This window comes from Homo sapiens, chromosome 2 (assembly GCF_000001405.40).
Source record: "Homo sapiens chromosome 2, GRCh38.p14 Primary Assembly".
In the NCBI taxonomy this organism is placed as follows: Eukaryota; Metazoa; Chordata; class Mammalia; order Primates; family Hominidae; genus Homo; species Homo sapiens.
The window spans coordinates 138,016,699-138,030,884 of record NC_000002.12 but is presented as its reverse complement, the minus strand read 5'-3'; the positions used below and the strand labels follow the sequence as shown (position 1 = coordinate 138,030,884).

General features: G+C 38.6%; 1 long non-coding RNA gene across 1 annotated transcript in view; it reads left to right on the top strand.

Annotated features, from left to right (window-relative positions):
- The window catches only part of LOC107985948 (uncharacterized), a 37,893-nt gene that overhangs the window by 12,854 nt on the left and 10,853 nt on the right, over positions 1 to 14,186 (top strand). The gene's annotated exons all lie outside the window — the stretch shown is intronic.

The window sequence follows — 14,186 nt, the reverse complement described above, 5'->3', positions numbered from 1 at the left end:
TTGTTTTAACTCCTCAGAGTGGGTTCTGTACTTCTAGTGGGACCCTGGCTGATCGAGGCTGACTTTAGAAAAGGTGGGTGGGGTGGGGCAGGGCAGTGCAGAGATGAACAAAAACCTATGACTATGGTATACAGAAGAATGAGCATGCGGCTAAAAATGAACAGGTCATGAGAAATGATTCAGACTGAAAATAAGATGTTGTTATCTCCCAAAATGCTGCATTGCAGGAAGGAAGGGAATTATTCACCACCACCTTAATGCTAGCAAACCATCATACCCAAGGCCTTAACACATCAAAACCACAGGCTTTCTTTCATGCAAGAGTACATTACTGGGCTTCCCCTCTGAGAACTGCTTCACTCTCAGCAGGAAAGCAAAGGGGTCCTATCGCTCATGGAGTAGACAAGAAACCTTGTGATATTCAGGATGGGTGATGGGGATGCAAGCCTCAAAATGGTTACTTGAAAGAGGTATTCCTAACACATTCTATAACTATTAGTGAGTTCCTACCATGTGTTGTGTTGTTTTAGGTACTGGGGATAGAGCAGTAAGCAAATAAAAAAAATGTCCTGTCTTCAAAGAATGTATAATATTGCAGTGGAAGGATGGGAGAGACAAACAGACAATAAACAAAATAAATAAATAACATTTTTTTTAGTGGGGATATATGCAACAGAGAAAAATAATGCAGGGAAGTGGATAGTACGTGTTGAGAATAGGGGGTTGAAATTTTAAATACAAGGTCAGGGAAGGCCTCAGAGTGGCATTTAAGTAAAAATCCAATGGAGGTGAAGAAGAGAGTCATGGGTTTTCTGGGTAAAGGACATTCAGGAAAAGAGGTGGAAAAGATTTAGCATCATTTTGGGATAGGATGTGAGAAATAGAAAGGACTCCAGGAAGAATTCAAGGTTTCTGGCCAGAGTTTCTGGAAGAATGGCATTATTTGAAATGGGGCAAAGATGAGATAGAAGATATTTGCTTGGGGTTGGGGTCAGGAAGATCAGAAGCTTAATATTTAGACACATTAAACTTGGTAAGCCTATTAGACATTTAACAGGGGATGTGACATAGGTAGTTGCTTCTATGAATCTAGAATTCATAGACAGAGAGAGAGAGAGAGAGAGATTCTAGAGTTGTCAGCATATCAACAGTACTTAAGCAGTATGTAAAGCCCCAAGAGAATGAAAGTGAGCATAAACAGGAAAATAAAAATTCCAAAATGAAGTCCTTGGTACTCCACCATTAAGAGGTCAGGGAGATGAGGAAAAACTCAAAAAGAAGTTTAAAAAGTAGTGGCAAATGAGGTGTGAGGCAAAACATCAGGGGTGGGGGTGTCCTGAAAGTCAATTGAAGAATGTGTTTCAAGATAGAACATGTAAAATACTGCTAGTAGATGGAATAAGTTGAGCACCAAGGACTTACCACTGGATCTGAGGTCTGCCAAGAGCAGACTGATGGGGCTGCCAAGAGCAACATTAATGGAGTGGTGTGGAGAAAACATGGGGTGGAATCAAGGAAGAATTATGAAAGAAAATGAATCCCAGCAAATATAGAAAACACTTTCCAGGAAATTTTCTGTAAAGGGAAAGGCAGAAATAAATAGTGGCTCGAGAATGAAGTAGAGGTAAAAAGAAGGTAGAAGAATAAAAAGCAAGTTATTATGTTGGTGAAAAAGACTTAATAGAGAAGAGAAAATCATGGTTTGGGAAAAAGAGGGGATAATTGCTGCCGTGATGTCTTCAGACAGCACAGAGGAGTTGGGACTTGGTGCACAAGTAGAGACACTCACATCAGCTAGAAGCATGGACATTGCATCTATGGTACTGTTATAGGAGTTATTAAGAAGTTACTTTTGGCAGATAGAGAGGAAAAGGGTTCCTTGGGAAGTTTTTGTTTCTTTTAAAGCAGCTCCAGAAATGTTTGTTGTCTAGCAGGAAAGCCCCAGCTCTTAGATGGGCCATGCTGGCCATTAGAAACTGGGTCCACCCAAACATGGTGATTCCTGCATTCTTCTTGCCCTTGGCCCAACATGTGCCTGGCAACATGGCTGCCCCCATATATCCCCACGTGGGTAGAACATCATGGTGGCCTGCATTTACATATTAAAAAGCTAGAGTGGGAGGGCCAGATTTTTTTGCCGGCTACCATGCCTAGTCAAACCAATATCCTGAGCCCTATACAAATCAGTCACTTCCTCCTCCAGCCTCCTTAGATAAGCAGCCACTTTTCCACAGCACACAGAGTTTCCTCTTTCAGCTTTGGAGTTCCCCTCCCTCTGTCTCTGTATGGGGGAGCTTCCTCCTTCTTTCTTATTAAACTCTCTGCTCCTTAAAACCACTCCATGTGTGTCTGTGTCATTTTATCAAAATCGGTATGAGACTAAGAACACTGGTGTTCCTCCAGTCATCGGAACCATATCAGTACCAGAAGGAAAAGTAGAGTATAATAGGTACAGGTGCAGGCAAGCGAGTAGATGTGGCTGGAGTTTGCAGAAGTTCTTTTCTGGTTGCTTTTATTTTATCAGTAAAGTATGTTGCTGAGAAGAAGGAACCAAGTCATCAACTAATAAGGATAGGGGAAGAGGTATTAAAGATTTAAGGAAAGAACTAAAAATATGACATACTCCACTGGTAGAGTGGGAGAGAAATGGATATGGAAATATATTTTCCAGTTAACATTAAGAGCCCACTTGAGATTAGTGGTCATGAATTTAAAGTGAGGCCATTCATCACGGTTTTACGCTTTTCTTCAGTCGTATTCAGTTGCACAGTTGCAGGCATGGAGTAGACAAAGAGTTAGATTTAAGTAGGGCTGTGTTTTTGCCTATGATGAAGTGAGAGAGTGACAAAAAATTCATGCAAGGGAGGGATTATAATTATTGGTCACCAGAATTTAAGCTGGATTAAAAGAGGATTGAATTGAAGGCAAGCCAGGAAAAGTGTAACATTGATATCATGGAGAAATTGTAGATTCTGATGAGGTCAAAGGGAGGTTGGAGAGGAGTTCCTGGAGGGAGTGGGCTGGAAACATAGCAGAATGTGATACTGGGAATGGAAAATATGGAGGGCACATGGTTAGGGTAAGACAAGAGAGCAAATGTGAGCGAATGGCTGGAAAACATAGATGAGAGGAACATAGGAAGAAAGGAGGTCAGTGACTTAGAAGCCAGGATATTAGCAGGGTAACATTAGGTTGGAGGGAAATTGAAATTACCAAAAAGCAGGAGTGGTATAAAAAGAGTGACAATGAGCCAGGATCAAAAATCCTCAAAAATCAAGAGAAAATGGTCTCCAAGTATGAGTTAATAACAGAAACAAGGAGGACTGGTATTTGGGATAGCCTGATGGCCTGAGATTCAAAGTCGATTTTTTCATGGAGAAAGAAGAGAAGATAGGAAGGAAATGACAATGAAGAGATAAGAGGACACCATCCTTCCTTCAAGCACAGCACATGACAATGCAATGGGCTAAGAGCTATCATTTGAAAGGGCTATGGGGAAAATGGTATCCTCAAAACAGGGCCAGGTTCTGGAACATAGGGGATTGAGAATACCGATGTTTTTAATGATAATAGACAAGAACTTTTAAAATTCACAATGGAAGAATTTTACAAAGTGAGGATAGTTAGAAGATGTGATCAGAAAAGGACTTTAGAGAGTTTAGGGTACCCCAGCAGTCCTGCCCTCTAGGGCTGCATTTCCTCATCATAAATACGAGATCCATTGAGGACCAGTGTCCTCTCAGACCTTTCACAGCACCCATTTGGGTGGCAGTAGGTACAGTGGGAGGAATCTTTGGAATGCTGTCTCAGACACACTTGAGCCTGTAGAAATACACAGCTTGGGGTGTAGTGTCCTCTGTGGCCCCTTCCTTCTCCTTCAGGCTTGGCTACGCAATATTAGAAGTGACAGTTTTACTCTACAGTAGCTGCCCGTGATGACAGAAAGATTTCTCCGTGAAGTTTGCTATCTTCCTGGGCTTCACCCAGCATGGAACCCAGATATGCTGTACTATCAGATCTCTAAATTTAAAATGGACTTTTGTGTTACTGCACATATTTGGCATAAAGTTGAGCATATGTTCTCTCCCCAACCCTCAACGGCAAGCAATAGTTCTCTCTTATATCTAACATTCTTGTTTTTCCAATTACTCTCCTCCCTATTCTGAGTTTGAACCATCTTTAGCTCATGAGGGCATAGGAACTCGGCCAGGGCAGGGAAAGCAAAACATTACTTACTGAAGTCATGTGCTTTATCACTGAGGGGCATTTGATGTCCCTGTTCTTTGGTTCTCCATGAAAGAAAAAAAAAAATGGTGATATCACTGGATAAGACACATGGTAGATTTTCACTTTCTCCTGAATTATCTATTTTTATTTTAGTGGAAAGCTTAAGTTGATAAATGAAATTATATGCACAGCAATTGGTAAATGCTTTGAAAGTAAAAAGCTATATGAATGGAAATAATTGTTTTAAATTCTTGAGAATGAGAAAGGAAGAATGAGCAGATGGCCCATCATGCTTTTGCTGGCTTTCGGGTTGGTTCCAAATGGCAAACTGTTGCCTGGGCAAACATTTGGAATCAAAATGACCATACTTTGTTTGCTGAGAATCTTTCAGTGCATTGTGTACTCTGCAAGTCATGTTCACCACTATGAAAGGACATTAAACTTGATAGAAAAAAAATGTGATTTATTAGAGCACTAGGAAGGAGTTTGAAAAGAAAGCAAGTGAATTAACAGATAGCCATATCCAAATGGCAAAGATGCTAACATGGGAAGAAAAGAGTCCAAGAACATTGTGGAATTTGAAATTAAAGTGGCGGAACTTTTATCTAAATGTGAGCAAATTTTATATGCATGATTGTCCCAAATACCAGAGCTATTTTCAAATGAGAATTGGATCCTGAATTACAAATTTTGTTCTAAATAAGTCAGAGAATATTATATAATTTTGACAGAATCAATAAACTTTATGAGAAAATAACATTTTACTCATTTTACCTTTTTTTTTTTTTTTTTTTGAGATGAAGTCTTGCTGTGTCGCCCAGTCTGGAGTGCGGTGACGTGATCTCAGCTCACTGCAACGTCCACCTCCTGAGTTCAAGCAATTCTCCTGCCTCAGCCTCCTGAGTGGCTGGGATTATAGGCATGCACCATCATGCTTCACTGATTTTTGTATTTTTAGTAGAAATGAGGTTTTACCACGTTGGTCAGGCTGGTCTCGAACTCCTGACCTTGTGATCTGGCCGCCTCGGCATCCCAAAGTGCTTGGATTACAGGCATAAGCCACCGCGCCTGGCCTATTTTGCTTTTAGTTAGACATGAAATCACTGTTTTTGAAATAGCTCTTGAGGATAAAATTGAAGCAGGGTGGTACATATCTGAAGAGCACCAATGAAATTATTTCAGAAAGAGAAGAAAAAAATTGAAATATAGTTAATTGGTAATAGGAACTAAGTTTTAGAGGGCGAGAACTAACATTCTTAATGCTCTCTCTAATTTATTATTTGAGACTAAAAGACAACAATGGAAGTAAATGGCAGCTAGAGATCATGGTATTGCCCAAGCAGTAAGTAAGCCAAAGTTTGAATTTCTGTGGTACCTCCGAATAGCTGTTTAATATTAGGCAAATCATAACCTGTCTCAGAACTTGCAATTTGCCTAAGTATCACTTTCCTATTCTATAAAATGGAAATATTAAAACCTACTTCATGATTTGCAATCATTTAGCATAGTGTCTGGGACACAGATTTGGGATTTTGTATGTAGTCTCAGTAAATTATCTACCCAAAGCATTGATTTAGTATTGTCTGAACTATTTGATTTTTTTTTAACACATTTGAGAATAAATTCAGTATAATGAATATTTGCTGTGTTTTCCCTCACTTAATGACTGAGTAAAACTGAAGTCCTATTGTCTCATTAAAAGGGGGCTAGAAGGACCCAGACATTAGGATTTCCCTAAAATAAAAGAAGGTTTATTCTAGCTGGCTACACTTTGGTTGTTCCCAATCACTCTAAGCAATTGGTATACTCTGACAATGAATTTGTATTTGTAATTGTTAGAAGTTGGGCAAGTATCTGCTAGTCCACCCTATCCAAGCTAGTGGTCATTCCTATAGTACGAATTTGTTATTCTCCTCACATTGTAATGCATCCCAGGAAAGGGCATTGTGTTACATGATGGGGTGAGGGGTGGAAGCGGGGAGTATGGTGGTCTCTAAAAAGATGAAATTCTTGAAGATCCTGCTTAAATGTGTCCTGTCCATGATGTCTGTTTATTTAGGCCTCCAGTAAAAATTAATCGCTTTACCTTTCCTCAAGTACTTTTTATAGCTCAATTTTGCATTTACATCTCACTCTGTCTTGTATAATATTTGTATTCTTACTTGTCAGTCTTCCTTAGGAATTAGCAACCTCTCTGAGAGCTGAAACCAGTCTCTTTCTTCACTTTTACCTTTCATGTGGTACCTGGCATCCAGGCTTGTATGCAACTGGTGTCCAAGCGCTCAGATCAATTCATCACCCTCTATAGAAACTTGAGACTCGAGAGTTTTAGTTGCTGTCAGTGTATCCATAGAAGTGAATGCCCTTAATTTGGGAATTGGGGAAATTTTTCAAGTAATTGTAATTGTCTGCAACCCCAATTTGAGGTAAGAACGATTGCAGATTGTGGAACCAGTCCATTATGTAATGCAGAAAGCATTTTCTGGTTCTGCTGGCTTCCAGCTCCTTGGCTGAGAAATGTCACAGACTGGTAAAGCTCACCTCCAAGCCAAAGGCACATCTATTTACATGGTCATTACTATTTCTGTTTCAAATATACATCTGCTTCTCAAATGTTCCTTTCCCTTGACAGCAATGTGTCTCACTGCTCCATGTAAATTCTTCTATTTTTCAAATTATTAATCTGAAAGGGATGGAAATGGAGGCTCTTGCATGAAAGGAAAAATCCCCTGACATATGTAGTTACCTTGAAGGCCTGACATTTGCTTTTAGTTGTTACCCTTCAAAAAGATAAATAATGTCCTTTTAAGGCATAAAAAAGGAACTATTAGAAACTCTGATTTTAAATATCCATAGGTATTCTGGACCAGATATAAACATATTTTTCTTGGCCGAAAGTGTTATGTTTTACAGATCTCTTTGATACTATTGTGCTCAAGCCAGCAGACCTCTATTCTTCCTGATTGGAAAATGTAAGTCATATTTAAGAATTGTTTTGGATGTAAAGTTGCAGCTCACTGCAGATTACGATAGTTGAGTTACAACTCACTGAAAATCAAGGGTTTAAAATGGAAACACTGACAAACCTTCAAGCCAGGGCAGCACAAATGGCGCCTTGATAATTTATAGTCTACAGACAGCTCTCGGGTTTATTATCACAATGACAAATGCACTGTCATTGTTAATAGGATATTTCCCAGCAAGGACTTCTTGTTATGCAAGCCAGGTCCAGTATGTCATGCTGCATGATAGCAATAAAGTCTACAAGAATTTGTAATGAACTTCAATTACTAATAGATTATGGTTAATGGGAAATATGTGCAGTAAAGATATGGGTTTTTATATGCGCCTTCTGGTATTCTATGAGGCAATGATTTATGCTACAATTTATGTTAACATTTTCTACTATGAAAAGGCTCAATTTGGTAGAAAGCCACTTCATCCATAACAAATATTTAAGATAATTTTGCACATAATATAAATGAAGGTATAAAATTAGATATTAATCTATTTAATTCTAGCATTTTTATTTTTATTGAAAGTGAAGACTTTTTTTCCCTCTACCTAGTAGTACCATTGGTTCAGAACTCTTGCTATAAAACAAAAGCATAAAATACATTGATGTCTTTGAGTTTAATGTGACATCTTGTATGTTAATTTCTTTGTTTAACTTCCTTTTGTAATTAAGGACCCCATTAAAATTTGATGTATACTGGTGTCTTGCTTATGCAAGTATTATTTTAAATTAAGAAAATGCACAAGTATTCATCTTAAAATGAATTTGTAATCCACATCATGCTTTCTGTCACTGTAGAGATCGACAGCTGGGATACAAATGTGGAAGTACATATATAAATGATTTGTGTGCGTCTTTATGTCTGGGTGTGTATGACACACACACACAGATATTATATGTAGGCCAGGTGTGGTGGCTCATGTCTGTAATCCCAGTCCTTTGGGAGGCTGAGGTCGGCTGATCACTTGAGGTCAAGATTTTGAGACCGGCCTGGCCAACATGGTAAAACCCCATCTTTACAAAAAATACAAAATATCTACTGGGGGTGGTGGTGTGTACCTGTAGTCCCAGGTACTAGGGAGGCTGAAGCATGAGAATCCCTTGAACCCAGGAGGCAAAAGTTTCAATGAGCCGAGATCGCACCACTGCACTCCAGCCTGGGAGACAGAGCAAGACTCCAGCTTAAAAAAAAAAAAAAAAAAAAAAAAATTGAAAAACGCTAACCATAACTTAGCCAAACATAGACAAAAAAAAATCGGTAAAATTAAACTATAAAATTGAAACAATTCACAATATTTTATTAAATCATGGTGAATTTAAAATTCTGAAACTAGAGTCATCACAATCTTGGGAACCCGCTGAAAGCATTTTTACATCTCTAAAGTGTGTGTGTGTGTGTGTGTGTGTGTTTGTTTAAAATTGCTAAAATGATTTATACGAAGCTTGGCCTTTTAGCTCAGAAAATGTGTTTTTATGTTCTCTCTTTTCTTCTAATCCCTGAACTCATGTCTTTTCACAGATCCTATATGACATCTTGCAAATGGCAGGTACAGACATTCTGAACACCTGTGTGCTCACTATTGCTTACTTGAATAACCTTTGAGCCATGATTTTTCTCTCTGAATGATGACAGCTCCAAGATTCCATGAAAGACCTTCCTGTCTAAGAGTTAAACACCTGGACTGTGGGGGAGAAAAATCCAGAAAAGGCCCCACGCTATCACGTTTTAGCTTAGACTGTGGGCAAGTCTATCTAAACCTATCAAACCTCAGACTCTTCCTCTGAAAAATAATAATAATTTTAAAGACTGACTTTTTATTGTGAAAACAAAATGAAATAATACGTTAAGAATTTTATATAGTCCTTGGCAAATATAAGTACTCAATTCACTGTGGATAATATTATTATTAATTGCAGCAATTTGATAAATACTGGTCGAGATAGGTAAGAGTATGATTTTAATGTTTCTATAATTATTACTATTTTTTATTGTTATAACATTCTTTCCAAACCTCAATATATTGCAGGTTTAGGTGTTTTGGTGAGCCAGAAAATCACCTGGTCAGTTCACAAAGACAGATTCCTGAACTGCACACATGGTTCAGATTTGGGACGGAACCAAGAAATTTACATATCTAAAAAGCCACCCAGGTCATTCTTCAGTCCACAGAAATTTTAAAAGCAGTGCATGGGCACCATTCATAGAATCTGTTAATGTTCATATTTTTATGTTTTATTGAAATCTAACTAAATACCATGATGAATGACTAAGTCATCTGCTCATCTTTTGGGTATTTGACATAATGCAGATTAAATATCTAGGACTCAGGTGACTGATAAGATGAGTGCACTTCTCATCTTGGTATTTTGGCCCCATTTGAAAGAATGTTTTTCTTCCAATGCAGTCATCCACTTTCCTACCCTCAATATAACTTATGTTATATTTTCCAAGGTTTTTTTTTTTTTTTACCATTTTCATAATATTTCTTGTGGCTTCCTTTGCAGATTAAAAAAAAAGATTCTGAAACAGATGGGAAATATGTGGGTCAAATTAAGCTACCTATGGTAGTTTGGGCATGGTTTCAGTTGCTATTACTCTAAAAAAGTTAACATTGTATGTACAAGGTAGAATGCCCTTTCTCTCTCAGGTGACACTCAGAGGGTAGGTAGTCCACCCCAAAATGGCAACTCTGCTCCATCAGGTCCAGGGATGTGGCTCCTTTTACCTTGTTTCTCCACATTTCCTAGGGTGTTGCTGTCCTTGTCTGCATGGTCTGGCATAGCTGACTACCACATTCCAGCCATCCAGAAGGAAAAAAAGTAGAAGAGGAGAATATATCTCTTTCTTTGTCATCATGTTCCACAAATTGTGTTATTTCTTCTCACATTCTATTGCCTAGAACTTAGTCATGTGGCTATATCAAACTCCAAGGGCGTATAAGAAATGTAGTCTTATCTGGGCAGGCTTGTACCTAGTTAAAAATTTGACACTCTATTACCATAGAAGGAAGGCAGAGGGGGCTAGTCTCTGCCACCTCACCTAATGACTCTGTCCAGCTGGAGCCACACTGGGCTCAATATTGCTGTTAAAAAGGCTTTTGTTATCAGATGCTCAGTAACTGAGGATATGTTTATACAAGGTCAAAATAATGGATCAGTTTACTGGGATTGTTCTCTCTTGCCCAAGAGACCAAGCCACAATCATACAGGAGTAGCCTCTTGAAGATAATGTATTTTGCCTCTTGAAGATAATATATTTTGCCTCTTGAAGATAATATATTTTGGGCCAAAGTTGATCAAGTCAAACAGGTACTATCTTTATGCTAGAGTCACCAGGTGAGATCCGTCCCTGGGAAATAGGATAAAAATTAAGAAGCTAGGAGATAATTCCTATATGAAACTTAAAGAGGAAGAAAAGGGACAGAGAGGCAATGAAGGTCAACATTATTAAAGACAGCAAGATGTAGTGGTTATGAACATGGTCCCTGGGGTTAATTCGTGTGTATTAGAATTCTGGCTCCACCAGATGTAAGAATGAGGTACACATTATATAATTTAATATATAATTTAAACCTCAGTTTCCTTCTTTGTGAAATTGGAATAGAAATTGTAACTAACTCACTCATAAGCTTGTTATGAGGATTAGGTTGTATAATGCCTATAAACACTTAACATGAGCACAACACGTAATAAGCCCTCAAGAAATGTTAACTATTATTAAAATGGGGTCTTTTAAATCCCTTATGGTCTGTTTTATTTAGCAAAGAATCTTCCTCCATGATTAACTCTTTTTCAAGCTGGAAACTATGAATTAGAATGGCCAAAGAAAACAGAGGGAAGCAGCCAAGCTGAAGAGCCAGTTTTTGCTCCACCATTCCTAGGACACACAGATGGGAAACTCATAAGTTGCCAACCTTGCCCAAACATATCCATCCCATGAGGCTTCTACTGGAGCAGTAAGCCCTGGCTAATTTCCTTGCCTGGGTAACTTATACAATGAAGAATAAGTCCAAACTCCTCTCCCAATCAGTCCTGGAGAAATAAAAGTAATTATAAACAAACCACAAGGAGGGTAATGCACCTTCCATTAAAGGCTATTGTGGGGTAGATGAAGTCTGTTGGGAAATGTGTGGCATGAGGCAGCAATATCTTGATAAATAAGCTAAGGCTGCAATGTGCTCCTGCTGATAATAAGCAGCATGGAGCAACTGCCTCTTCTACAAAACCCTGGGATTTATGTCCAGTCTGCCTGCATTGAAAACCAGAGAATTAACTCATGAAACCCATATATCAACACATGCAGAAAAAGGAATCACAGTATAGAAATGAAATTAGCATGAAATTAGTTAGCTGTAGAACATAAATAAAGGTACTGACACTTTTCTGCATCTTCTATAGCAAATGTCTTTGGAGAACTCACCAAGGTTGGACTATACCTCATGGCCCCTGTGATTTATTTCAACATTTTCTATCCTAAGCAGGTTGTTTGCAAAGTCCTTCAAGTATCATTAAGACAAGCCAGGAAACACAGATAATTCTTCAAGAGAAGAATATGATCATGGAAAGGCACTGCTTATACAGAGTATCCCCATGTGTCAGTGCAGCCTCCAGAACGGCGTCTTGCTGTATTTATTAATCCATTGCCACAGAGATTACTACAATCTGACTCAGAGCCCTAATTAATTTTTGGCACATTTAGAAATTGTGACTGTCGTTACCCAGGGAGCCCTTAAATCAACCCCCCTTTTACTGCAGTTGCCTTTTTATGGTGTATATCACACTGAGAAATGGATTACATGATCCTTAGCTTTAACTATCCTGCATTAGTTGATCATGTACTATGGATGTGTATTGCACAGTTTATGAATCATAGGGGAGCTAGGGTATGAATGACAGATAATTTAAACATGAAATTGGTGATGTCTGGGACCTGGTAGGAGGTGAGGCAGAGAAATACAGGCAAAAGTTAAGGCAATGGGATGGAAAAATCAGATATTTATGACAAGCTTAAAATGAACTTGTTACTGAAGTGTAGTATTTAGAAAGAGTACTATCTCATTATTCAAGGAGGTGATTTTTTCATAGTACTCTGATCCTCTGATTGCTTCTTCTTCCCTTTTATAATCAGGTCCCCTTCAATGTACAAGTGGATATTTGGGGGCAAAGGTGATTTAGTTCTATGAAGTCATACTCCGCATCTAAGATGAATGAAGATCACATATTTAACTTGCCCAATATGCAGACATACAGTGTGAGTCGGCCGGGCAGGTATAGGGTTTGGCTAACTTCCTGTTATCAACTTGCTTTGGGAGCTGGGTTAAATTATTCAGTGTATTAGTATCTCAGTTTCCTCACCTATGAAATAGGATAATAATAAATAATCTTTCTAATTCATGAGGTAACAACCAAATAAGATCTTCTATTTTGCTCTACCTAAGACATTTGGGAGGCAAGAAGCAGACACCCACAAGGATACCTGGAGTAAAATGGTATTTGTTCAGGTTAGACACAGATGGGAATAGAAACTGCAAGAACCCTTCCTTGAGACAGCCAAAGCTCATCTCCCATTCAAAGGCCATGTGGTCTTAGACTCCTGGCATCTCTCATTCTCTCTGCAAGTTGGTTCCATGCCTCACCTTCAAACCATGGCATCCCAGTGAGGTCCTCCCACATGTGGCCCACAGTGGCAACTCTAGACTTGAATCTATCTTAGGACCTTTCAGCTCAGCTACTATAGAAAGCCACCTCGCCTTCTTATTGTCCTTTAGATATGTAAAGCTTATTTCCACATCAGGGCCTTTGTATTTGTACTTCTTCAAATGCTTTTCTCCCAACTCTATGCATGGTTTGCTCCTTCACTGCATTTCAATCTCTGTTCAAATCTTGTTCTTTCAAAGAGAGCTTCCCTGATCACTCCACTTAATATTTCCCCATCTGGTACTCTTTTCCCCTTATTTACTTTTATTTTCTTAATACCACCTATCATTCTCTGGCATATATTTATTTTTTGCCTATTTCACCCACTAGAAATCAGGTCACTGAGGTCTGGAACTTCGTTGTTGTTGTTGTTGTTATTGTTTTGCTGTGATATGTCCTTTGCTTAGAAAACTCCCTCACACCAAAGAGGTACTCAATAAATATTGATTAATTGTACATATCACGAATAAGTGAATGAATGTCTCATTGCCCCAGATTTGTAATTTCACATTTTTAAGAGAATTTTTGATGGATGCATTTCATAATTTTCAGAAAGACTGTTTCATCAATTTCTGCCTATAGGTTTCTATCCATGTGCCAGCTGGATAGTCTCATCAGGCAGGATTGAGATGGGGCCATTTCACATAGTACTGAGCACAGGCACTTAGAGCATGGATAGCTCAGGGAGGCAGATCCCTTAAGGTGGGGCTTGGATGGTGGAATCCTGATGGCACCTTGAGTCTCTTGGAGGACCAGCTTAGCTCTGAAAGACACAGAGGCCATCTTCCTGTGGCTAAGAATCACAAGGTCAGAAACTAGGTCGGCTCCTACAAGTACTAGCTCTCTGGCCTTAGTTGTAATTTTCCTTAAACTTTTTATTTACTCTGCATTTTGTATTGAGTTTCCATGAGTAACTAATAACAATGGTGGTTAATATTTTTGAGTATTCCTGATGAGTCTAATGCTTTATGTGCATATTTATGAAGCTTAACTCCTGGGCTTCTCGTAACCATCTTCTGAGGTAGATACTATGATTCACTTCATTGTGTAGATGAAGAAATATGAGAATAGAGAGAAAATAAGTTACCTAATGTCACTTGGTGAGTAATTAATACAACCGGAATTTGTACCCAGTAAGTCTGGCTCTACAGCTTTATTTAACAAGGTTATTTTAATCCACTCACTCCACTGTGGGACTTCGCAAGAAGCCCACATTTTTTTAGAAGTAACATTCTGATGAGGTGAC